This window comes from Homo sapiens, chromosome 15 (assembly GCF_000001405.40).
Source record: "Homo sapiens chromosome 15, GRCh38.p14 Primary Assembly".
In the NCBI taxonomy this organism is placed as follows: domain Eukaryota; kingdom Metazoa; phylum Chordata; class Mammalia; order Primates; family Hominidae; genus Homo; species Homo sapiens.
Genome location: NC_000015.10, coordinates 43,276,875 through 43,303,276, shown reverse-complemented (window position 1 = coordinate 43,303,276; position 26,402 = coordinate 43,276,875). Strand labels below are relative to the sequence as shown.

The 26,402-nt window shown below is 47.3% G+C and overlaps 1 protein-coding gene across 2 annotated transcripts in view, besides 1 other annotated feature; it reads left to right on the top strand.

Moving 5' to 3' along the window:
- The first annotated feature begins 1,021 nt into the window (after window positions 1-1,021).
- The window catches only part of TGM7 (transglutaminase 7), a 25,985-nt gene continuing 604 nt past the window's right edge, over window positions 1,022-26,402 (top strand). Inside the window, exons 1-12 of one of the 2 annotated variants that reach the window (NM_052955.3) lie at window positions 1,022-1,036; window positions 9,646-9,828; window positions 10,323-10,568; window positions 11,180-11,298; window positions 15,608-15,736; window positions 15,820-15,997; window positions 18,325-18,463; window positions 20,657-20,760; window positions 21,191-21,433; window positions 23,326-23,652; window positions 24,000-24,160; window positions 26,282-26,402. The exon at window positions 26,282-26,402 is cut by the window's right edge and continues 13 nt beyond it. In NM_052955.3, coding sequence (NP_443187.1) covers window positions 1,027-1,036; window positions 9,646-9,828; window positions 10,323-10,568; window positions 11,180-11,298; window positions 15,608-15,736; window positions 15,820-15,997; window positions 18,325-18,463; window positions 20,657-20,760; window positions 21,191-21,433; window positions 23,326-23,652; window positions 24,000-24,160; window positions 26,282-26,402 — 1,960 coding nt within the window. In that variant the 5' untranslated portion in view covers window positions 1,022-1,026. Of the gene's footprint in view, window positions 1,037-8,685; window positions 8,699-9,645; window positions 9,829-10,322; window positions 10,569-11,179; window positions 11,299-15,607; window positions 15,737-15,819; window positions 15,998-18,324; window positions 18,464-20,656; window positions 20,761-21,190; window positions 21,434-23,325; window positions 23,653-23,999; window positions 24,161-26,281 lie in introns of those variants that run through there. The other variant, XM_017021903.1, reaches the window with a different exon arrangement.
- Window positions 4,977-5,613: an enhancer, noted in NCBI's record as "NANOG-H3K4me1 hESC enhancer chr15:43589862-43590498 (GRCh37/hg19 assembly coordinates)". NCBI's record gives its function as "activates a minimal SCP1, AML or CMV promoter by ChIP-STARR-seq in primed H9 embryonic stem cells {active_cell/tissue: H9 hESC(primed)}" and the evidence as "EXISTENCE:reporter gene assay evidence [ECO:0000049][PMID:30033119]".

Below are 26,402 nucleotides of genomic sequence, written 5' to 3'. Positions count from 1 at the left end.
TATTTTTAATTAACATGTAATAGTGTACATATTTATGAGGTACAGAGTGACATTCTGATGTATTTTGATACATGTATACAATGTATAATGATCAAATCAGGGTAATCAGAATATCCATCATCTCAAACATTGATCATTTCTTTGTGTTGGGAACACTCAAAAACCTCTCTTCCAGTTATTCGAAAATATGCAATAAATTCGTATTAAATATAGTCACGCTGCAGTGTTATAGAACACTAGAACCTAGTTTTCCTATCTAGCTGTAATTTTGTATCCCTTAACCAACCTCTATCCCTGCTCCCACCCACCCTTCCCAGCCTCTAAGCACCACGACTCTGCTCTCTGCTTCTCTGATCTCAACTTCTTCAGGTCCCACATATGAGTGAGAACAACTGCACTGTTTTCCTATTCTACTTTTTCCTTCCAGTTAATATCACATTATGGGCATTTTTCCTTGTCACTGGAAACTTTGTCAACTTCATTTTTAATCAGCAGCATTAATAATTCAGTATTTCAGTGTGCTTTATTTTTCTTCAAGATGCAAAGCTCCCTGGGTCCTGATGGGCTGTGCAAATCTTTCTTCATGACTCTTTCTATGACCTTCCTCATAGCTCTTTCTTACCCAACACCCATATGGTCAGGGGAAGCCAGACCGAACTGGCTTAGATCGAATCGGGTCCCAGGCCTTGAAGTGACAGAGGCACAAGGGAACAGCTTCAAGCCAAGCTTTGCCATTCACATCACTTGTGAGTCTTCTCAGCTCAAAAAGGAGGCCACAGAAACAAATCCCTCAGCACATTTTTACAAGGCTTAAGTCAGAAGCTCCCTTCCTTAAGCCAAGATGTACCTGGAACAACGGGAAATTTAAGAGGAGGAGTGGGAGGAGGAGGAAGTGGCAGCCCCGCCCGACTCAGGGATGGAAGGGAAGGTTCTAGTAGGGTGACTGTAAATGCTCAAGAGGCAATTAGGTCTCGAATCGTACTGGTGACTAGTTGAAGGGCCTTGACCGACAGGAGAAGGAGGGAGATGGATCAGGGTGAGTACTGGGAATCGACTTACCTTTTCGGAGGTGCTAAGTCAAGAGAGGGGAGAAGTTTGGAGAGGGTAGAGGATGTAGGGAAGCGACAGGAGAGCCTGGATTGATGATTGGTAGTTCATTGTGCAATACGGCTCCTTCTTCTTACTTCTCCATCTGCATTTGGACCTTGGGGCACAAATCCTACAGCCATTCGTTTTCTTTTCTGAAGCTGTGAACAGCCTTTTCTTTAAAACCTGGGGGGCTGAAATGGCCTTGGGAAGTCTGAGGAGCCCCAAAAAGAGCTTGGCCCCTGCCACCAGGTGTCCTTGGGTGCTTGGGAGGCTATTTCTATGGCCAACTCTGAAGCTGTGGGAGGACCCCTCTCAGACCCTAGACCTCTCCCTTGTCCAGCTTCTCCCCTGACTCTCAGGTCCTCACTGAGAGTTGCTGCCCCCACCCCTGAGTTCAGGCCCCTTTTTCGATCCCTTCAGAACCCTGCCACTCCTCTCCTGGGAGTGAGAAGAACAGGCCCCCGCAGGCTGGGCCAGCCTGGCCAACACATGCGGCCTGCCAGGGAGGGCACTAAACATGGGTCATGTATTTCTTTTCTTTTTCTTTTTTTTTTTTTTGAGATGGAGTCTCCCTTTGTAGCCCAGGCTGGAGTGCAATGGCGCGATCTCGGCTCACTGCATCCTCTGCCTCCTGAGTTCAAGGGATTCTCCTACCTCAGCCTCCTGAGTAGCTGGGATTACAGGTGCCTGCCACCATACACGGCTAATTTTTGTATTTTTAGTAGAGGTGGGGTTTCGCCATGTTGGCCAGGCTGGTCTTGAACTCCTGACCTCAGGTGACCCACCCACCTTGGCCTCCCAAAGTGCTGGGATTACAGGCATGAGCCACCACACGCGGCCATGTATGTCTTAAAATAATGTTCTAAAGCATGTATCATGTTCTAATGGCCAGGCACTGTGTCTCACACTGGGCGTGGTGGCACAGGCCTGTAATCCCAGCACTTTGGGAGGCCAAGGCAAGCGGGTCGCTTGAGCTGAGGAGTTCGAGACCAGCCTGTCCAACATAGTGAAATACTGTCTCTACTAAAAATACAAAAATTAGCCGGGTATGGTGGCACAAGTCTGTAGTTCCAGCTACTTGGAGGGCTGAGGCGGGAGGACTGCATGAGCCTGGGGGGGTCAAAGCTGCATTGAGCTGAGATTGCGCCACTGCACTCCGGCCTGGGAGAAAAAGTGAGATCCTGTCTCAAACAAACACAAAATAAAAATAGAGATATAAATGGTTTTTAAATGCAAGACAGAGTTTGACAGAGAAGGCTCAAGAAGCTTGTCACGTGCTAGATTCCAGGGTACTTTAGTGCTAGAGTTTAGCATATCTTTTCCCCTTGGCTATCACCAACTAGAATAAGTCTAAAACAGTTATATATATACACATATATTTTTGAGACGGAGTCTTGCTCTATTGCCCAGGCTGGATGGAGTGCAGTGGCGCAATCTCGGTTCACTGCAAGCTCCGCCTCCAGGGTTCACGCCATTCTCCTGCCTCAGCCTCCCGAGTAGCTGGGACTACAGGCGCCCGCTACCACGCCTGGCTAATTTTTTGTATTTTTAGTAGAGACAGGGTTTCACTACGTTGGCCAGGATGGTCTTGATCTCTTGACCTCGTGATCCACCCGCCTCAGCCTCCCAAAGTGCTGGGATTACAGGCGTGAGCCACCGCGCCCGGCCTTTCATTATGTTTTCATTTGAAGAAAGCACAATATTCACTTACTTGGAAAAAAAATTTGAAAATCTTCAGACCAGTACCACCAGCCAGAAGTTAAGAACTAGGTTCTAGAGTCAAACTGTCTAGGTTTAAATGCCAACTTTGCCACTTAATTAAGTAGGTGACACTGGCCAAGTTACTTAACTTTGCCTATCATCTTCCTACTTATCTGTAACAGGGGGCTGATAATATGGAATTGGGTAGTTACAGGAATAGCAGGAGATGATGTACATAAAGCCTGGAGTTCCATAAAACTTAGTATTAACTAGATATTCAACTAGTGTTGCAAGTGCAAACATCCCCTATGTTCTGAAATGCTTGGGAAGAATTTTGTGGAGGAGTGGCTGCTGGGTTTTGTTTGAAGAATGGGTACAATGGAGACACAAAGAGATTAGGGAAGGGGCAGGGGCTGTCAGAGGTAGATATGAGTATGGTCTGTTTGGAGGCCATAGTACAAGTGAAGCAGTTTATTTATGGGCTAGTGGGAGATAAGATTGGAGAGATATGTTGGGACCACATTGTGAAGGGCTTGGAATGCTTGGCTAAGGAGTTTGGACTTGAACTTTTAAGTAATAAGAAATTTTTATTCTTGCACACTAAAAGAGGCACAGAACACGGCAGTAATCTCCTATAGGAATCTCTTCATATGCTCTCACACAGATTATACTCTTTCACATTTTGTAAGAAGGGAAGAAATGAAAAAGAATAACGTATTTGTAAAAGTCCTAAAAATGGACAACAATAATGAGAAATGGAAAGAGAAAAGAAGCTAGAATAAATGCAAAAACAAAGACAGAAGAATGGAAGGAGCTGAGTCCACCTTCCACCTGGCATTTTGTGGCAGGTGCCAACTCCATGCCAGCTGCACTGGATAGAATTTGCCCTTTGTTGTCTCCACCTAGAGCGTGCCAACCTCACCACTAACCTGACTGCCTGGGACTTTGTTGGCAGTTGATTCCTTTAACCGACCCCATTTTTCATCCACCCTAGCTGGGGCCTTAGGAAGCCCTACAAGTCAAAATATTTCAATAAATGTTTATTAGCCTGCCATATGCCCAGGGATGCCAGCCCCTTGCACACATAGGGTGGTCCTTCTTTTCCTCTTACCAACACCTGTGTTTAGGTCCTCATGAGCCTTTGGCTTAGATCGTTGTGACAGGGCTCTCGCTGCCCTTCCCGTCCTTCTCTTCTTCCCCTCTGGTCTAGGCTAAATGCCACAGTCGAATTAATCCTAAAGTTCAGCTTTGATCCTGCCACTCCTGCTCAAAAGCCTGCCTTTAATCAAAGTAGCACTTTCCCCTCAATACAAAAGGAATACATGTTCAAAGAAAAAGCTTGGGAAAAGCCAAAAAACCTAAAGGAAAGAAAATTTCCAATAATTTCACCACCTAAAGATAATTTGTACATACTAATTTTTAGTCTTTTTAAAAAATCTTCCTTTCTAATGTCTTGTGAACTACCTTTCTGTAATCTTTGCTCCTTTTTTTTTTGGCTGCTATTGGTGCCCTCTTTGTTGGAATCAAGTTGGAATCATCAGATAAGAGGAATCAAGTTTATGTAGCCAACTCCTATTGTAAGATATTTGGGTTGCACTGAACATTTTTATGCTTAAGTTTTGTACACAAATTATTATTTTTTAAGAAAAAAATCCTAGATGAGAAGTTCATGGGTCAAAGGTATTTATGTTTTAAGGCTTTCTTTTATTTTTATTTTATTTTATTTTATTTATTTGAGATGGAGTCTCGCTCTGCCACCAGGCTGGAGTGCAGTGGCCCGATCTTGGCTCACTGCAACCTCCGCCTCCCGGGTTCAAGCAATTCTTCTGCCTCAGCCTCCCAAGCAGCTGGGACTACAGGCACCCACCACCATGCCCAGCTAATTTTTGTATTTTTAGTAGAGACAAGGTTTCAACATATTGGCCAGGATGATCTCGATCTCGACCTTGTGATCCGCCCGCCTCGGCCTCCCAAAGTGCTGGGATTACAGGCGTGAGCCACCGCGCCTGGCCGTTTTCTTTTATTTTGTAATAAATATTGATGAATTGCTCTCAGAAAGGTGTAACATTTTATCTACCCATCAGGGCTAGATCTACCCATGACTACTGAATCAAGCAGCAGCGTCTTGGCCCGGGCTCGAGCCCCTCCTCATCCTGGCCCTGCTGCCCTCACAGGCTCTGCCCCTTCCCATCCCCTCCATCCCCAGTGCTCTTCTGCAGGATGATTCTCCTTGAACCTCACGCACATGTGTGTCTATCCATTCAGCAAATGTCACCAAGAACCCACCAGGATGGCAGGAGATTGTGCAGGTTAAGGGGGCGGCCTCTGGAGCCAGCCTCCCTGGGTTTGATCCTATCTCCACCCAGCACCTTCCTGTATGTCAGGAACAATATTAACAGCTCCATTTCAGGCGGTTGGTGAGAACATAAATTCTTTCAGACATGTAAAATGCTCTAAACAATGCCGGGCATTGGTAAGTATTCCACGAACATTAGCCATGCATATCTGCAGTTAGGCACCAGGCTCCTTTCTAGGCAGGGGAATCTGCATTTGAAGATGGCTGAGGTCTCTTGCTTTTGTGGAACCAATTCTAGATATTAAGTGCCCTGAAGAAAACAGAGAGGGTGTTGTGATAGAAAGTGACCACATGGTGGGAAGTAAAGCATCATGCTTGGTGGCCAAAGAAAGCCCCTGTGCAGTGGTTACTGCTGAGCCAAGACCCGAGTGGAGAGATGGAGGCGTGAGTGAGGGCAGGGCTGTCTTGGGTTTTGGTGTCAGAGGACAGGAGCTTTGCATCGCGGAGCTCATCACATGCAGATGGCTGTTTCAATGTCTTTTTCTTTCTTTCTTTTTCTTTCTTTCTTTCTTTCTTTCTTTCTTTCTTTCTTTCTTTCTTTCTATACATGCAGATGGCTGTTTCAATGTCCCTTTCTTTCTTTCTTTTTCTCTTTCTTTCTTTCTTTCCTTCCTTCCTTCCTTCTTTCTTTCTTTTTCTTTCTCTTTCTCTCTTTCTGTCTCTCTTTCTCTCTTTTTTGAGACAGGGTCTCGCTCTGTTGCCCAGGCTGGAGTGCAATGGTACGATCTCAGCTCACTGCAAACTCCGCCTCCCAGGTTCAAGCAATTCTCCTGCCTCGGCCTCCTGAGTAGCTGGGATTATAAGCATGAGCCACCATGCCTGGCTAATTTTTGTATTTTTAGTGGAGACAGGGTTTCACCATGTTGGTCAGCTGGTCTCGAACTCCTGAGCTCGTGATCCACCCGCCTCGGCCTCCCAAAGTGCTGGGATTACAGCCGTGAGCCACTGTGCCCGGCCTGTCTCCTTTTTCTTAAAAGGCTGATAATACATCAGGATATATTTGATCCTTTTATACCCTTGTCTTTGTATTAGTCAAATAAGTGCCAGGAATCTTGTGGCTGGGGCTTAACTCTCCTCTTACTCATGTCATTAACTCCAGTGGTATTGTGGCCAAGACAAGAAGGCCTTGTGGGTGCTGACATGTTTTTACTAACTGATTCTGCTTGATTTTCTGCTTTGTTGAGCCTCTTCCTGATCCTCTTGGCTTTCTTTTCCTGCTTTTGAAAACCCTTCCCTTTGTTTTCTTAAGTCATTGTCTCTTTGACATGAGAAGCACTTCAGTGGAGTGGAATAAAAAAGAAAACCTGAGTGTCCAGTGGAGAATGAGTTTTCTCCATGCCACTGCAACCTTGGGCCTCTGGAGAGGAAGACATCTTCCTTCCTCCCCCTCTCCTTTCTTTCCCAAACTAAGAGAAGTCTGGCTTAGGGGAAAATTGAGTTGGCTGTCCCTAGGAACTATGCTTTGAGCTACAAACAGCAGCCAGGAAAAGGCTACCCTGAGTCCTGTTCCCTCCTGTGTGTCCCTGTCTCTTTTGGATCTATGATCATTCAGGGTGGGAGTTGTGTATGGGACGGAGAGGCTTTCTGTGAAGGCTCAGTGGTCCTGCTATGAAAACTTTAGGCCCCTTAGGAACAAATGAGAAGCAACCAGTTCCCAACCAGATTGAGGCCAGCTGCTCTCTGACTTTTTTTTTTTTTTTTTTTTTGAGACAGAGTCTCGCTCTGTCACCCAGGCTGGAGTGCAGTGGTGTGACCTCGGCTCACTGCAACCTCTGCCTCCCGGGTTCACGCCATTCTCCTGCCTCAGCCTCCTGAGTAGCTGAGATTACAGGTGCCCGCCACCACGCCCGGCTAATTTTTTGTATCTTTAGTAGAGAAGGGGTTTCACCATGTTAGCCAGGATGGTCTCAATCTCCTGACCTCGTGATCTGCCCGCCTTGGCCTCCCAAAGTGCTGGGATTACAGGCGTGAGCCACCTCACCCGGCTGCTTTCTGACTTTTAACTATGATCTATGATTTATATCATGACCTAGCTACACATAAAATTGTCCTTGTTCTTCCTATGTGTGATGCATTGTATGTTTTCTATTCCATTCCATTTTCTTATTACAGGCTACCTCTCTCTAAATTGATTTCACAAACTACTAAATGAGTTGGAACTGAAGTTTAAAAACTGCTGTTGAATGATTAAAAGGGATCTGTCTTAGATCTTTCTCTAAATTTTCTGGTTCCAATAACATATCTATTTAAGTGCCCCAACACATCAAGAGGTTTAACAACTTTGTACCAATTGATCCAGTAATTCACCTTTGTTGAATCTACCTTACAAAAGATTGTTGTTAAGAGACAGATCAAGGGATCCTTATGCATATTCTGTTTTTAGCCAGACATTTGACACATTTATGGAAAAGATGAAAACTGGATTTGATTTTAGATTGTGAAGGAAATTAACATTGACTTCAGCTTTATTCAAAGATTAGATGTAGTTAAAGCAGTTGAACAGCTATGCCCAAAGAGTTTTTTTTCTAGTTCTATGTTTTTTTGAGATGGAGTTGCTCTGTCACCCAGGCTGGAGTGCAATGGGGCAATCCTGGCTCACTGCAACCTCTACCTCCTGGGCTCAGGCAATTCTCCCGCCTCAGCCTCCCAAGAAGCTGGGATCACAGGCACTCACCACCAGGCCTGGCTAATTTTTGTATTTTAGTAGATGCAGGGTTTCACCATGTTGGCCAGGTTGGTCTCGAACTCCTGACCTCAAGTGATTCACCCTTCTTGGCCTCCCAAAGTGCTGGGATTACAGGCGTGAGCCATGGTGCCCAGCCCCAAAGAGTATTTCTTAATGGCTCAGTGTTAACATGGAAGAAAGAGCTGATGATACACAACTGGCCACCAACTTAGGCTCTAATGCTTAGAAACATCTTATTACTGATTACTTAGATGAAGACTGGAAGACAGTTTAGCCAGTCTAGAGATGGAAAAGTAAAATATTTGGGTCAAAAAATCAGAATCTATCAACCTGGGCAACATAGGGAGATGCTGTCTCTACAAAATACAAAAAAAATACTGTAGGGCATGGTAGCCCATAACTGTGGTCCAACATACTTGTGAAGCTGAGATGGGAGGATCACTTGAGCCCAGAATGAAGGCTGAGGCTGCAGTGAGCCAGGAGCATGCCATTGCACTCCAGCCGGGCTGCAGAGTGAGACCCTGTCTCCAAAAAAAAAAAAGGATCAAGATAGGTAGGAAAGATGCAAAAACATTAAGAACCTCTGTGGAAGTTCAAAATACAAATGGCACAAAAACTGGCTGGGAGCAAATATGAGTTTTTCCTTTAGGATGCTGCTTAGCAGCCTCTCTTCCCAGTAAAAAATGTCTTCAGACATTGCCAAATGTCCTCCAGGGCACGGAATTTCCCGTTGAGAACCACTGAGATAAACTGATGTACTACTAGAGGAAAGACCTGATGAACTTTTGTCGACAGTAAATGCAATCTAAACATTGCCAGCAAAGGTCGCAAAAGAAATGCAATTCAAGAACGCATGATTCCTACCAGTAAGAGTAACTAATATTGACTCCTTACTCTGTACCTGGCACAACGCCAAGGTCCTTCCATGGGCATCCTCACTTAACGCCCACATGAACCCTATAAGGTAGGAATACAATTGTCTCCATTTTTCAGATGAGGACACTGATGTCTAGGGATATTAAGTGACTTGCTCGAGGTCTCACAGCCCAGATGATAGACCTGAGGCTGTGTCAGTCCAGAACCTGCCCACTGCCTACTGTGCTATGAGAGTTTTACAACCATGTACCAGGTGTGCACACACAGGAAGCAGGCAGTGCCCTCCTCATAGACCTGGAAATGGCTGAGAAGTCAGAAGTAAGTTACAAGTGACCCAGAGAGTGTCCAGAATTCCAAAGCAGGGACTTGCCCTATGGCTGAAGTCCCAGCTTCCAGTCAGCTCACTGACTTAATTCATACAAAATCCTAGTATGTTTATTCTTATATCAGTAGGATAAAAGGGTGACTTTTAGAAAGATTGTCAACAAATAGTTAAGAGCATGCAGCGGCACTTCAGGGGTTAAGTTTCGGTTATCTGGAATTGTTTCCCTTTTGGGGACCCCAATCCTTGATCATTGTGGCTCCAGGTCCAGACATGGAATTCACCAGTATCAACACTTCCCCATGCCGATCCCCCCGCACACCCCACTCCCCCCGCACAGCCCCCCGCACACCCCACCCCACCCCCGCACACCCCACCCTCCCCAGCACACCCCACCCCCCCGCACACCCCACCCTCCCCAGCACACCCCACGCCCCCGCACACACACACCCGCACGCCCCCCCCGCACACCCCACCTCCCCCCCCGCACGCCCCACCTACCCCCCGCACGCCCCACCACCCGCCGCACCTCCCAGAAATGACTGAGAAGCCACAAGGGATGCCTGAGCCCAGGGGACTGCAGGTGGGCGTGACCTGTCCCCTCCTCTCCCCTAGTGGCAACCTTGCGGCTTGAGTCTGTCGACCTGCAGAGCTCCAGGAACAACAAGGAGCACCACACGCAGGAGATGGGCGTCAAGCGGCTCACTGTGCGCCGCGGCCAGCCCTTCTACCTCCGGCTGAGCTTCAGCCGACCCTTCCAGTCCCAGAACGACCACATCACCTTTGTGGCTGAGACCGGTGAGTTTGCCCTGTCCCAAGGCCCCGCAGGTTCCGTCAAAATGAGGGCATTTACAGAGTCTGCCTGCGGGGCCCCTGCCTTTCCCACCTGAGCTGCCCTCCACTTTCTTGTCCTGGGAGCCCCAGACCCCTCATGCTCAGGACCCTGTTAGTGCTGTTAAGGAGAGATTTGGTCAACTCGGCAAACTGAGGTTGTGGCAGTTAACAACCGACCTGTAGATACACAACAAGCACTGTGCTAAAACTTTACACACATTAGCTCATTTAATCCCCAGGACAAGACTTTCAGGTGGTACTATTATGATCCCCTTTTAACAGATTAAAAAACGGAGGCCTGGGGGTCTTAAATGGTTTGCCTGAGGACACTCGGTGGCAGTAAAAGCCAAAAGCATTAGCAGGTGGTGGGAGAAGGTGACGGTCCTTCCGACTCCCCTGGAATCATATACCATACAGGTTTTTTGAGCCTCACTGTGGGGTCATTCTCTCCTACACAGGACCCAAGCCGTCAGAGCTGCTGGGGACCCGAGCCACATTCTTCCTCACCCGGGTCCAGCCCGGGAATGTCTGGAGCGCTTCTGATTTCACCATTGACTCCAACTCTCTCCAAGTTTCCCTTTTCACACCAGCCAATGCAGTTATTGGCCATTACACTCTGAAAATAGAGATCTCTCAGGGCCAAGGTCACAGTGTGACTTACCCGCTGGGAACTTTCATCCTACTTTTTAACCCTTGGAGTCCAGGTAGGATGTGCCCACAGCTTGTATTGCTAACCTGATCCATTGGGAAGGCCCTGTGAGGTTCTTTGGAAAAAGCCCAGAAAATAAATCGCCACATAGCTATGCAATGTAGTAGCGTGTGCTCTCACAAAAATCATCTTTACAAAGAATTTCTAATGGCATGAGGAAAGTATTCATGACGTGATGTTAAGTGAAAACATTGAAACATTTCCTAATATGAGCCTAATTGTATTAAGTATGCACAGAAAGAGAGAGTGGCTAGAATACACCAAAACATAACGGTGGGTGTCTCTGAGTAGTGGGAGTGAGCAGTTTCCATTGTCTTCTACCCATCTATCTGTATTTTCTGAATCTCTACAATAAGCCAACTCTACAATCAGTCACTTTTACAATCAAGAAAAGATCGTTGGTTTTTAAAGTGTACATTGTATTTCTGGCTTCTAGAAAAGCACATAGTAGACCTTTAAGGGGGTCTAGTCTTAATTTCTGTTGCTATCAACCCATCGACTGTTCCTCCTGTTTTCCAGAAACACGTTGTCGTTACTGTTTTTTAATTTAATACTCTGTTTTTTTGGTTTGGGGTTTTGCCCCCTCCACTACTCTTAACTGCTCAGAGGACGACGTCTACCTGCCAAGTGAAATACTGCTGCAGGAGTATATCATGCGAGATTATGGCTTTGTTTACAAGGGTCATGAAAGATTCATCACCTCCTGGCCCTGGAACTACGGGCAGGTAACACTATTACCCAATGTGGGCCTGGGGTGGGCTCCCTAAGGCTGGTCCTTACACAACCCTGTTATGTAAGGCTGTTATATTACACAGCCCTCATAGAGGGCCACTAATACAGGCGAGGGTGTGAGGGGCTTGGCCAGCTTCACATCCAGTGAGAGGGGCAAGGAAGGAAGGGGTGGATGTCTTTCCTTTTTAGTTTTTAACATTTTATTATGAAAAACCTTAAAACATAATCAAAGTAGACAGGCTACTACAATAGATCTCCCTGTACCCACCTCTCAGCTTCAGTAGTGATCAATGTATCATGAGTCTGTTTCATCAACACCGGGGGTTTGCAAACTACAGCCCACAGACCAAATGTGGCCTACTGCCTGTTTAGCCCATGAGCTGAGAATAGTTTTCACGTTTTTTACTTGTTGAAAAGGAATTGTAAAAGAATAATATTTTGTGATGTGAAAATTATATGAAATTCAAATTTCAGCGTGCACAAATAGCATTTTATTGCAAATAGCCATGTTCATTCATTTAGATGTAGTCTGTGGCTGCTTGCATGCTGCATTGGCAGAATTGAGTTATTAAGACAGAGACCTGCTTCAACACATGCAAATCAATAAACGTAATCCAGCATATAAACAGAACCAACGACAAAAACTGCATGATTATCTCAATAGATGCAGAAAAGGCCTTTGACAAAATTCAACAACCTTCATGCTAAAAACTCTCAATAAATTAGGTATTGATGGGACATATCTCAAAATAATAAGAGCTACCTATGACAAACCCACAGCCAATATCATACTGAATGGGCAAAAACTGGAAGCATTCCCTTTGAAAACTGGCACAAGACAGGGACGCCCTCTCTCACCACTCCTATTTAACATAGTGTTGGAAGTTCTGGCCAGGGCAATCAGGCAGGAGAAGGAAATAAAGGGTATTCAATTAGGAAAAGAGGAAGTCAAAGTGTCCCTGTTTGCAGATGACATGATTGTATATCTAGAAAACCCCAACGTCTCAGCCCAAAATCTCCTTAAGCTGATAGACAACTTCAGCAATATCTCAGGATACAAAATCAATGTGCAAAAATCACAAGCATTCTTATACACCAATAACAGACAAACAGAGTCAAATCATGAGTGAACTCCCATTCACAATTGCTTCAAAGAGAATAAAATACCTATGAATCCAACTTACAAGGGACATGAAGGACCTCTTCAAGAAGAACTACAAACCACTGCTCAATGAAATAAAAGAGGATACAAACAAATGGAAGAACATTCCATGCTCATGGGTAGGAAGAATCAGTACTGTGAAAATGGCCATACTGCCCAAGGTAATTTATAGATTCAATGCCATCCCCATCAAGCTACCAATGACTTTCTTCACAGAATTGGAAAAAGCTACTTTAAAGTTCATATGGAACCCAAAAAGAGCCTGCATTGCCAAGTCAATCCTAAGCCAAAAGAACAAAGCTGGAGGCATCACGCTACCTGACTTCAAACTATACTACAAGGCTACAGTAACCAAAACAGCATGGTACTGGTACCAAAACAGAGATATAGATCAATGGAACAGAACAGAGCCCTCAGAAAGAATGCTGCATATCTACAACCATCTGATCTTTGACAAACCTGACAAAAACAAGAAATGGGGAAAGGATTCCCTATTTAATAAATGGTGCTGGGAAAACTGGCTAGCCATATGTAGAAAGCTGAAATTGGACCCCTTCCTTACACCTTATACAAAAATTAATTCAAGATGGATTAAAGACTTAAATGTTAGACCTGAAACCATAAAAACCCTAGAAGAAAACCTAGGCAATACCATTCAGGACATAGGCATGGGCAAGGACTTCATGTCTAAAACCCCAAAAGAAATGGCAACAAAAGCCAAAATCGACAAATGGGATCTAATTAAACTAAAGAGCTTCTGCACAGCAAGAGAAACTACCATCAGAGTAAGCAGGCAACCTACAGAATGGGAGAAAATTTTCACAACCTACTCATCTGATAAAGGGCTAATATCCAGAATCTACAATGAACTCAAACAAATTTACAAGAAAAAAACAAACAACCCCATCAAAAAGTGGGCGAAGGACATGAACAGACACTTCTCAAAAGAAGACATTTATGCAGCCAAAAGACACATGAAAAAATGCTCATCATCACTGGCCATCAGAGAAATGCAAATCAAAACCACAATGAGATACCACCTCACACCAGTTAGAATGGCGATCATTAAAAAGTCAGGAAACAACAAGTGCTGGAGAGGATGTGGAGAAATCGGAACACTTTTACACTGTTGGTGGGACTGTAAACTAGTTCAACCATTGTGGAAGTCAGTGTGGCAATTCCTCAGGGATTTAGAACTAGAAATACCATTTGACCCAGCAATCTTATTACTGGGTAAATACCCAAAGGATTATAAATCATGCTGCTATAAAGACACATGCACACGTATGTTTATTGCGGCACAATTCACAATAGCAAAGACTTGGAACCAACCCACATGTCCAACAATGATAGACTGGATTAAGAAAATGTGGCACATATACACCATGGAATACTATGCAGCCATAAAAAATGATGAGTTCATGTCCTTTGTAGGGACATGGATGAAGCTGGAAACCATCATTCTCAGCAAACTATCACAAGGACAAAAAAACCAAACACCACATGTCCTCACTCATAGGTGGGAATTGAACAATGAGAACACATGGACACAGGAAGGGGAACATCACACACTGGGGCCTGTTGTGGGGTTAGGGGAGTGGGGAGGGATAGCATTAGGAGATATACCTAATGTTAAATGACGAGTTAATGGGTGCAGCACACCAACATGGCACATGTATACATATGTAACTAACCTGCACGTTGTGCACGTGTACCCCAAAACTTAAAGTAGAATAAAAAAAAAAAAGACAGAGACCTTATGGCCTGCAAAGGCTAAAATATTTACTATTTGGTTTTTTACAGAAAAAGCTTGTCCTTCTCTGGTCTGTACTCTTCTGCCTCCATCCCCACTCCCCACTCCACCACTAGATTTTTTTCTTTTTCTTGAGATAGAGTCTCACTGTGTTGCCCAGGCTGGAGTGCAGTGGCATGATCTTGGCTCACTGCAACCTCCTGGGTTCAAGTGATTCTCCCACCTCAGCTTCCTGAGTAACTAGGACTACAGGTGCGAGCCATAATGCCCGGCTAATTTTTGTATTTTTAGTAGAGACGGGGTTTCACCGTGTTGGCCAGGCTGGTCTCGAACTTCTGACCTCAGGTGATCCACCTGCCTCGGCCTCTCGAAGTACTGGGATTACAGCCACTGCTGCCGGCAAATTTTTTTTTAAGCAAATTACAGATACCATATTATTTAATCCAGTAACACTTCAGCATATTTAATCCAATAGTACTTCAGAATATAGTCATGTAAAAGATGATGACTCTTTCTGCAAAACTTAATCAGAATACATGATTGTAACGGAAAAAAAAAAGAATAGTAATTCTTTAATAACATCCAATATCCAGTCAACGTAGAGAGGGGGAACTTGGCTCTGGGCAACGTTTCCACTCTCAACCCCCGCAGGCGTAGTTTCTCTCTCCTTCCCACTGCCACCTCAGTCCTGTCCACAAACTCCAAAAGGGAAGAGGTGGGGGAAGCCTTGCTGAGGGAGAGCACGTTTTCCCCATTCTCCAACCGTGGCGACCTGTGACCCTCTTTGAAACTGAGACAAATACCTGTGCATTTGGCAGCCAAAGCATTGTGACAAACATTGTGCACGTCTATTATGAGCCCACCCTGGCTCCTCCAGGGCCCGCAGCGTCTGCTCTGAGCTCCTCTACCTGATTTCAAGACTGGCACGTGTGGCCCTACATTGATCTCTAGACTTTTTCTGCTCTGATCCCTTCCCTGCTTCTTCAAGTCCTCCAGATAGGAGTCTAAGTCCTTGATACCCACCATGCTCAAAGACCTCAGGTAAATATGCCCACTCTCCTCTTCCTGCCCACCCAGTCCATCAAAGCCCATTGGCACCAAAGCCTTCTCTCATCTGTTCAGCCGAGGGGGGTCTCTCACTCTCCGAATTCTGTTTCCATTTTTCATCAGAACCACGCAGTTTAGTGTTTCAGAATTTCAAACCTAATACATTCCCAATTTGATTTATAAGCTCTTCAAAGGCAGGAACTTGTCTTATATTTAGCGCCCTCCCCCTGCCCCCACATCCCCATATACATGCCATCCCCAAAAGTCTGTTAGTGACTTAAAGTTTCAGAAGTCTAGACATTTGCTCTTCTCTTTTTTCTCCCTTAAAATCACTTGGAAGTTTGAAGAGGACATCATAGACATCTGCTTTGAGATCCTGAACAAGAGCCTGTATCACTTAAAGAACCCGGCCAAAGACTGTTCCCAGCGGAACGACGTGGTGTATGTGTGCAGGGTGGTGAGTGCCATGGTAAGGATGGATGCTTCCCGCCGTCTGAGGACAGTCTGAGCTTCCCCGGGAGCTGTGGAAACCCACCTGTCTGTCCTCTGCAGATCAACAGCAACGATGACAATGGCGTGCTGCAGGGGAACTGGGGCGAGGACTACTCCAAAGGGGTCAGTCCTCTGGAGTGGAAGGGCAGTGTGGCCATCCTACAGCAGTGGTCAGCCAGGGGCGGGCAGCCTGTGAAGTACGGACAGTGCTGGGTCTTCGCCTCTGTTATGTGCACCGGTGAGCGAAAGATCACTCACTTAGGGGTGTGATTAACTTCATTATCAGAGAAGTTAACTGTGGCTCATAAAGGTTCAGTAGCTTGCCCATGGCCCCACAGCTGGGGGTGGTGGGCACCCAGGCCCTGAGCTAGCACACCATACAGTCTCGAGGGATCCTGTGCATTTATGTGAGAGGGGGATTGACCTGTGGCAATCATCTCACAGTATCCTTGATGGATCAGTCAGACTGTTAAAACTGTCATCTGGATAGAGGAGTTTGTGGTCCCGAAGCAGAAACCAAATGGCTCCTTTCTGCCACCTGCTCAGGCATCTCAGCTCAGGGTGAGCCTGGCATGGGGGGGCAGGTGGAAGTAGATGGCGTGAGATAGCTGACCTCACCCATAGGCAGAGCTAGCAGCCCCCAAATGCTTCACTGAGAGATCCTTGAGCAGTTATCATTATAGACTTGCCACCTTGCTGACTACCCTTAAAGAACATCAATGTTTTATGCAGTATCAATTATTTACAATTCAGTGCAAAGTTGTTGAGCAGACCATCTGTGAAGATGAGAGAAAGATGGAGAGTACTTGTCTCACCCTTGCAAGGCCAGAATCTGTTAGACAGGCCTGTCCTGCTACATTATGGAGCTCGATGAACATTTGCTGAACTAACAGGGTGACTCTGAGTTGGAGAAAGGAGGAGCAGAGAATGGGGAGGACAGAGACAGGTGCCAAAGACAAGGGCAGAGACTTTTTGGAGAGGGGCAGCAGAGGCTGGCAGTTATATACAGGTGCTGCAGACACAGAGGAGGTTTAAATCTGAGTGTTTGAATCCAGTGACCTCACTTTGCCCAGGTGTGAAATGGGGCTAGGGCTACCCTGGCACTCAGTATTCTCAGTTGTTCCTTGGGCTGGGAAGTCCCCAGGCCGTGCTAGGTAGGTGTTATGGAGGAGGCCTGGGATGAGCAGGAGAAGGACGAGGTCCACCACCCTGCTCCATTTCCAAGCCTCTCCCCACTCCCAGGCGCTCGAGTTACAGGGCCACTGCGCACTGGGGGAGCTGCCCCTGCCAAGCTTCCTATGGCCACTTCCAGCCCAGGTGTAGCTCCCACGCCTGCTAAGGATCTGTGACAAGCCCAGGAGCTGTGCTGTGAGTGGACAGGTGACTGCAGACAGGAAGCCTTCTTGGGGGCTCTTCAGTGAACCAAAACAAAAGGATTGGTCGCTGTCAATATTCCTTTTACTTTTTGAAGCTGTGTAATCCTCCTGGCAGCCTCAGTAGGCACCGTCTGCCCCTCCTAGGAGGGAGATAGTGGGATAAACCTCTCTGAACTTACCATGCTGGCTGATGTCAGTACCCACGTCCCCTCAGGGTCACACCTGGCTCTTGCTGGCTCTTGGCTTGACTTCATCTGGCTCTGGGCAGGCAGGGGTGTGTGTGTGTGTGTGTTTGTGTGTATGTGTTGGGGGTAATGTTTACACTGTGTGACTAGATTTGTGAAATCATAACTCAGCTTTTAAAAGCCTTTGTAGCAGTATCATGAGAAGCCACAAGAGGGAGCTGCTGCCTTATTAAAGATGGTTGCTGACTGTGATTTCCTCTTATCTCTGCTGACGGTTTCCACTGTCTCTAGAAGTCTATCTTGTCCCTCTATCCATCCTCGAATTTCTTTCATACCTCCCCCTACCTCTTGTCTTTAAGTAGAATTACAGATCCCAAATTTCAGAGCTAGGGTGGGAGGAGGGTGATGAAATAATCTGTACAACAACCCCCCGTGACACGTGTTTACCCACGTAACAAACCTTCATGTGTACCCTCAAACCTAAAATAAAAGTTAAAAAACATTTCGGAACTAAATTTTCAGCCTCCCTAGTAGCTGGAACTGCAGGCATGCACCACCACACCCAGCTAATTTTTTTTTGTATTTTTAGTAGAGACGGGGTTTCCCCATGTTGGCCAGGCTGAGTCTCAAACCCCTGACCTCGTGATCCGCCTCAGCCTCCCAAAGTGCTGGGATTACAGGCGTAAGCCACCGCGCCTGGCCCTCTGTCTTTAACTTGGAAAGCTGCTGAGTGGAAAGACTCCTAAATGATAAGTCGGATTATTGTTAACTGTTGTTTTAAGCGACCCTCAAATGATTCCTTTCTCCTTGTGGGATGTTGATCACTGATGGGGCAGCAGGGCTGTGGGACTGGGTGTGGGGCTCTGGGAATAAAGGAGTTACTGGTGTGGTTCCGTAAGCGTCTTGGCTTTCTCTCCTCCAGCTTGAAAGTTACAAATTATGCATGGAAAACCAATAATTCTGCCTGAAATGAACTCAGCGATTCTCTATATTTTTCTCTTTAGTAATGAGATGCTTAGGTGTTCCAACCCGTGTTGTTTCCAATTTCCGTTCCGCGCACAACGTGGATAGGAACTTGACCATCGATACGTACTATGACCGAAATGCCGAGATGCTGTCAACTCAGAAACGAGACAAAATATGGTGAGAGGCACTGTCTTGAACAGATCTCTGCTTTGTCCCAGGGAGGGCAGAAAAACTGACCTGGTTCTCTCTGGCTCTTGAGGAAATATTGCAAGATTGCCCTGAGCATTGCTGCTAATGCTCAGAGAAGAGAAGAATTCCCCAACCCAGGAGGCTGTTCTGGCTAATTAGGTCATCAAATTTAACTCATTTCAGAGGTAGAAAACAATGGGATAACATTCTGGGGCCTCAACCAAATGACTAGCTGGGCGTCTTCTGAACACTGACCTCAAAAGTCTTTATTCATCTTCCTCTTTCTTCTCTGAGTTTCTGTTTGTACCATCCAGTTTTCCCAGAAGTCAGACAGAGCCTGGACTGGCTGCTTCTGTAGACCTCTTCTTGTCTCTCTTGACTTCTTCCTCTGCCCAACCCACTCCCTGTCTGCATGCATGTGTCTGTGCATGTATATGCATGCGTGTGTGTGTGTGTGTATCTCTGTGCATCCCTTTATTTGTGTATCTCTGGCTTCTTTTCCTGGTTCCTTTGTTCTCAGCTCTACCCGCAAATCTGGTTTCCTGTTTCTCTTTTTCCAGCCAGTTTCCAGATAAGACTCGCTGTGTTGGTTTGTTTGTTTTTGAGATGGAGTCTCGCTCTGTTGCCCAGGCTGGAGTGCAATGGTGCGAACTCAGCTCACTGCAATCTCCACCTCCCAGGTTCAAGCAATTCTCCTGCCTCAGCCCCCCGAGTAGATGGGACTACAGGCACGTACCACCACACCTGGCTAATTTTTGTATTTTTAGTAGAGACGGGGTTTCACCATGTTGGTCTCGAACTCTTGACCTCAGATGATCCACTCGCCTCGGCCTCCCAAAGTGCTGGGATTACAGGCCTGAGCCACCGCACCCAGCCTCCAGGTAAGATTCCTTGAGTTGTGTAAGAACTACCTGCTGTCCTAGGAGCCCCCTCCGTCTCTGAGCTTCAATTTCCTTGTCTGTAAAATGAAGATAACATCTACTTCACAGGGTTGCTAGGGTGAAATGAGATCAATGCCAGTAAGGAGGGCTTTTCAGCCTGGGATCCACAGATAGACTCCTAGAGGTCTGAATTGTCTCTGATTCAGGAAGCAGTGGTGTATCTGAGGATATGTAACTTAGGCACAGTTCTGTCTTTGAATGCATATCTTGAGTCTAATCATGAGGAAACATCAGACAAGCCCAAAATGGGGGCCACTCTGGTTTTAAAAAATAGATAAATAACATAAAGACTGTTTTCATTAAAAGCCCAGACTTCACCACTAGGTAATATCTCCATGAAACAAAACTACATTTGTACCCCTTACATTTACAAAAAAAAAGAAAAAGAGAGAGAGCGAGAGATTGTTTTCAAATCCCAATGTAACAAAGAAAGAAAGGCGAAGGAACTGTTCCAAGATCAAAGGAGACAACATTCTGCGTAGCTGAATGCAGTGTGTGATCACAGACGGCATCGCGTACCACATGGGAGAAGAATGCTCTAAACAACATCATTAGGTCAACTGACAACATTAAAATATAGACAGTAAATTAGATAAAGGCATCATATCAATATCCAATGTGCTAGGGTTTATGAACTATACAGGGGTTATGTAAGAGAAGATCCCTATTCTCAGGAAATACACACTGAAGTGTGTATGTGTAGATATCTATTCCTGTCCACACTGAAAGAAAGCATATGGGGCAAAATGTTAACAACAGATGAATTGGGTAGATGGGTGTTCTTTGTACTACTCTTTTTTGTTGTTTTTTTGAGATGGAGTCTCACTCTGTGGCCCAGGCTGGAGTGCAGCGGTGCCATCTTGGCTCACTGCAAGCTCCGCCTCCTGGGTTCACACCATTCTCCTGCCTCAGCCTCCCGAGTAGCTGGGACTACAGGTGCCCGCCACCATGCCCAGCTACTTTTTTGTATTTTTGGTAGAGACAGGGTTTCACTGTGTTAGCCAGGATGGTCTCAATCTCCTGACCTCGTGATCCGCCCACTTCGGCTTCCCAAAGTGCTGGGATTACAGGCGTGAGTCACCGCGCCCAGCCTGTACTATTCTTGTGACTTTTAGTATGAAATTACTTCCTAATAAAAAGTAAGAAAAAGAAACAATGATATAAATCACTCCGTATAGTGCCTGGTACCTGGCAAAACCTCAGCTAACATGAATCCTTGTCTCCTTACTCCCTCCTGCAGGAACTTCCACGTCTGGAATGAGTGCTGGATGATCCGGAAAGATCTCCCACCAGGATACAACGGGTGGCAGGTTCTGGACCCCACTCCCCAGCAGACCAGCAGTGGTGAGTGAGGACCATTGCAACAGGCTCTGGCTCTGTGGGGAGGCAGATTAGGGTGACTGGCCGTGGGAGCAGGAGACCAGGGAGGAGCAGCGTTTTCCACGGCACCCTCTTCCCGAGGTCCCAGCTGACACAGCTTCAGATCAGGAATCTAACTCTACCATTGACAGAGTCACCCGGATGGGTTACCTGGATGGGTCACTGAGCCTCAGTTGTGTCCTTACCTGTAAAGTGGAAAAGCTGATGATGAGCATTGCCACTTCACAGGGTGGCTGTGAGGGTCAGATGAATTAATGGGAACAAAAGTGCTTGGTAAACTGGAAGATATCCCACGGGTGAGAGTCAGTGGTGCCGCTGCCTATCCCATCTCCACCTCCCACAGCCACAACCAGCTGCCCCTGGCCCCCATATCAGTAGCCTGTTGCCTCCACAGGGCTGTTCTGCTGTGGCCCTGCCTCTGTGAAGGCCATCAGGGAAGGGGATGTCCACCTGGCCTATGACACCCCTTTTGTGTATGCCGAGGTGAACGCCGATGAAGTCATTTGGCTCCTTGGGGATGGCCAGGCCCAGGAAATCCTGGCCCACAACACCAGTTCCATCGGGAAGGAGATCAGCACTAAGATGGTGGGGTCAGACCAGCGCCAGAGCATCACCAGCTCCTACAAGTACCCAGAAGGTGCTGGGCGGGTATTTGGGGAAAGGGCTGCTTTAAGCTTCTTTGTGATGCTTCCTAGCTGGGATGGCTCCAAGTTGAAACCATCACCATCGAATCACCTCTTCCTCATGGCAAACTCCTAGGGGTCCTTCCTGGATCCCAGGCATGTGGCCCTAGGGTAGGGTTACCAGCAAATAAAAATACAGGATGCCCAGTTAAATTTGAATTCCAGGTAGATCCAGATAAACAAATATTTTATTTGTGTAATATATGTCCCAAATGTTGTATGAGACATACTTATTCTAAAAAGTATTCACTGTTTATCTGAAATTCACACTGGGTATGATTTTTAATATATAAGTATGTTCCAAATAGTGCATGGGATGTACTATACTAAAAATAATTTGTTGTTTATCTGGAATTTAAATGTGGTTGGATGTCCTGTATTTTAACTCCACCCAGAGTGGCACCACCGTCTCCCTATGTCCATGGCAAGGGGAGCGGTGGAGTCAGGGGGATGGGCCCCTGGGCCTGTGGATGGGGTGGACACCCCCACGGAGGGCGCATGTGTGGAGTCAGGCTGCCTGAGTACTGAACAGGGCTCTGCCATGCCCTGTGTAAGACTGGACACAGTTTACCACCCCTGTGCCTCCATTTCCTCATCTGTAAAATGGGATAACAGTCCCTCGGACGGCTGTTGAGAGGTTAAATGAGTGTCCATAGAAAGCACTGGGAACAGTGCCTGTGGAATGCAGCAACTGCTCCAGAGAAGTCCACAGGTGGGGGTAAGTTTGGGTTAAGCTGTTGGAGGCGGCACAAATGTTTCTTATGATTAGGCATAACTGAAGCCTGTCAGTAACAATCTGAACCTGTGCTCAATTAAGCAGCTGACCAGTCATTACCTCCTCCTCCTTGCTCTTGCTACCCAAATAAATATGAAGGGCGGTAGACACTCAGCGGCTGCCTTTGCTCACTAGAAGCAGGGAGCCCTTTCTTCTTCTCTTCTTTTCTCCTTCTCTTTTCTTATTCCGCATGCTAGCCTTTCCTTAAAACAGTTTCTTCTGTTTTTTACCATTTCTACATTCATCCCTTCGTTCAGTCTTGTAATGATGGTCTCAAGTAGTAACAGTAGTAACTGTGGTAATGATGGTCTCAAGTAGTAGCAGTGGCAGCCAGCCACATTAAGCCTCCATGTTAAGTAGCCCCCATGGGCAAGAGATGAAGCTCTTTTGTTTTTTTTTTAGGCGGAGTTTCACTCTTGTTGCCCAGGCTGGAGTGCAATGGCGCAATCTCGGCTCACTGCAACCTCCACCTCCTGGGTTCAAGCTATTCTCCTGCCTCACCCTCCTGAATAGCTGGGATTACGGGCACCCATCACCATGCCCAGCTAATTTTTGTATTTTAGTAGAGACGAGGTTTCACTATGTTGGCCAGTCTGGTCTCAAACTCCTGACCTCAGGCGATCCACCCATCTCAACCTCCCAAATTGCTGGGATTACAGGTGTGAGCCACTGCGCCTGGCCGAAGCTCTTTTTTATGTTTCGAGCATATATCTTAGCTGGAGGGATGCTGGTAGGGGAGAGAAGCCTCTGGCTTCATGATGATGATGATAGTGATGCTGGTGGCCATAGTGATGGTAGAAAACAGTGCTGAGTCCTTGCAGCCAGCAACTCAGCCTGACGTTTTTGGGATCCCTTATAAGGAAAGCAGATATCATCCCCAGGTTACAGATGACAGAACAGAACACTGAGAGATTAAAGGACTGTGACAGAGCAAGGATTTGAACCCAGCAAGCAGCACCTGAGCCGCGCCGCCTCCCTGTGCTGCTATTCCTGTGCCTTGTTGCCCCAGGAAAGTCACTGGTCCTCTCCACCCCTCCCCATGCATGTCTCTCCTACCTCTCCCTTCTGCAGGATCCCCTGAGGAGAGAGCTGTCTTCATGAAGGCTTCTCGGAAAATGCTGGGCCCCCAAAGAGCTTCTTTGCCCTTCCTGGATCTCCTGGAGTCTGGGGGTCTTAGGGATCAGCCAGCGCAGCTGCAGCTTCACCTGGCCAGGATACCCGAGTGGGGCCAGGACCTGCAGCTGCTGCTGCGTATCCAGAGGGTGCCAGACAGCACCCACCCTCGGGGGCCCATCGGACTGGTGGTGCGCTTCTGTGCACAGGCCCTGCTGCATGGGGGTGGTACCCAGAAGCCCTTCTGGAGGCACACAGTGCGGATGAACCTGGACTTTGGGAAGGGTGAGTGTGAGGCAGGCCTGAGAAGGCACCTACAGGGAGGGGAGCTGTGGGTCCATGAACACAGTGGGGTGGGCCCAGCCAGATTACACACAGACCCCTTCCTCCAACACACACACATTCTGGGCAGTGAAGCTGCCAGCTGCTGCACCTCTGATGCCACCCCACCAGGCGAGACGGAGCAGTGAGCCCTGGGGACAGTGTGTGCGTGGTGGGACGCTGTCTGTCTGTCTCTCACACACACTTTTACCTCTCACGTGAAAATTCTAATTTTTCCTCTCTCACATCTACATGTCCCCCCTCTCTCTGGTCCATGTCCTGGACTCAAGGTGTCTTTTGTATGTGCTTAGAGACACAGTGGCCGCTCCTCCTGCCCTACAGCAATTACAGAAACAAGCTAACGGACGAAAAGCTCATCCGCGTGTCTGGCATCGCGGAGGTTGAAGAGACAGGGAGGTCCATGCTGGTCCTAAAAGATATCTGTCTGGAGCCTCCCCACTTGTCTATTGAGGTAGTGTCTGGACATGGGTGGGGGCTCTGAGGCTCTCTGACTCACCCAATCCAGGGGCTGGGGTGCAGCAGCCAACAAGACACTGTTCCCACCTCTCACCACACCGATGGCTCCAGCACAGTATGGTGTGGTCTAGTGCTCTGTACCAGCGTGGGGTTGGAGGGGCATGAAGGCTTCTCAAAGGACGTGCTATTTTTCAGAGGATGCATAGGAAACTATAGAGAAATTAGATGGCCGTGAAGGCATTTTAAGTAAGGAAATCATTTTGCAAAGGCAAAGAGACGGGAAAGGCAGTGACTAGGAGATGAAGTAGAGGAGACAGATTTAGAGACTCCACAAAGTCAAATTCAAACGATGACCACTGGCTAAGCATGGTGGCTCATGCCTGTAATCCCAGTGCTTTGGGAGGCCAAGGCGGGAGGATCACTTGAACCCAGGAGTTCGAGACCAGTCTGGGCAACATAGCGAGACCTTGCCTCTACTTAAAAGTTTTTCAAAAGTTAGCTGGTGTGGTGGTGCATGCCTCTAGTCCCAGATACTCAGGAGGCTGAGGTGGGAGTCCAGGGAAATCAAGCCTGCAGTGAGCTGAGATCATGCCACTTCACTCCAGCCTAGACAACAGAGTGAGACCTTGTCTCAACAAAACAAAACAAAAGGTGAGTATTGACAAGATTGAGGTGACAAAGACGGAAACAAATGAAAAGTGAACTTCAGATTTTGAGTTCAGATGCCTGAGTGGCCAGTGAGGCCATTACACAAAGAAGGAATTTCAGGCAAAGGAAGGGTGAATGGAAGAGGGCAGGTGCATTCCCCATCTCCTGCTACCAGGGTTTTCCTTCCCGAAAGCCTCGTTTTCTCACCTGCCCCTCCCACTCAGAAAGACTTGCCCACTGCCTAGTCCAAACCTGGCTCTGTACCTGGAGGCTTCTCCAACAGCCTGCCCCTCCCCACCCCAATAGAGAACTGGGCAGCTCCAGACCATAAATCAGCTGGCCTACCCCAGGGTTTTCACCCAGGCACACTGTCAGGCTGTCGGGCCAGCTGACACCAGGCAGCCTCTGTGCTGGGGCAAACAGTGGGCAGAACTGCAAGTGCAGACATAAGCCTGGGGCTGTGGCCAGGGCCCTGCCGTGTACCTGAAGCAAACATGGCAAATGCCAAGTAGGTTGCTAATTGGTCCCCATCAGTAAGGGATCTGCAGATGATTCCACAGTTATTTTAACCTGTTCTACTTTGACACCCTTATGAGGGTACAAGGGACTTGGTATTTTTGTTTGGACCCCAGGTGAGTCAGGTGTGTTCTTCCTTTTCCTTGAGTCTCTGGCCCAGCCAGAACAAGCCCCTAGTACGATCTGGGTGGTCAGAGCTCATTTCAGTTCAACACGTGCTTACTGATATCCATCATCTGGCCGGCACTGTTCTAGGCCCAGGGGCTCCAGAAATGAGTAGGAAGGATGCCTGCCTCCCACTCACAGGCCACAGCTGTGCTGCCCCGTGACACAGCACTGAGCACACCTGGAAAAACTCGAGTGCATGCCCTGCTGATGTTTATGAAGACACAGCAGCGTGGGGAAAGATCCTAGGCTGGGGTCTGGGACACCTGGGTCAGGTCCTGGCTCTGCCATTAACACATCATGCAGCCTTGGCCTCACTGTTTCCTCGGTGATGAGCGTAAGGGCAGGATGACATCACTGATGGCACATGGGTGGCACACACGACACCACTTCCTTATCCCACACCTGTGTTAGATATGAATCAATTGTGATCCTTTGTCCTCAGGATCCTTTTAACACAGCCTTCCTAGTAGCCACCCACTGGAGCTGGCACTTCCATTTAAATCTTGTGGACATCTTGAACTAGATGGTGGGGACAGAAACGGGTTTCAGCTTGGTGGCAACTGCTGATTGGTGGTGGCTCCTTGGAGTATTGTGACCTAATGCAGGCCTGTATATGTGTTAATCTCAAGTACTCTCAGCTCACATTCCTCCCTCGCCACTGTGGCACATTAGCTCTAAGCCGCAGTTCCTGGTGGTCGCCAGGGACCTGGGGGTGGGGGTAACTGAACCAGAGTGCAGAAGCGAGGCCAGTTGCCCATGGGATTGCTGACTTCTCTCCACACAGGTGTCTGAGAGGGCTGAGGTGGGCAAGGCGCTGAGAGTCCATGTCACCCTCACCAACACCTTAATGGTGGCTCTGAGCAGCTGCACGATGGTGCTGGAAGGAAGCGGCCTCATCAATGGGC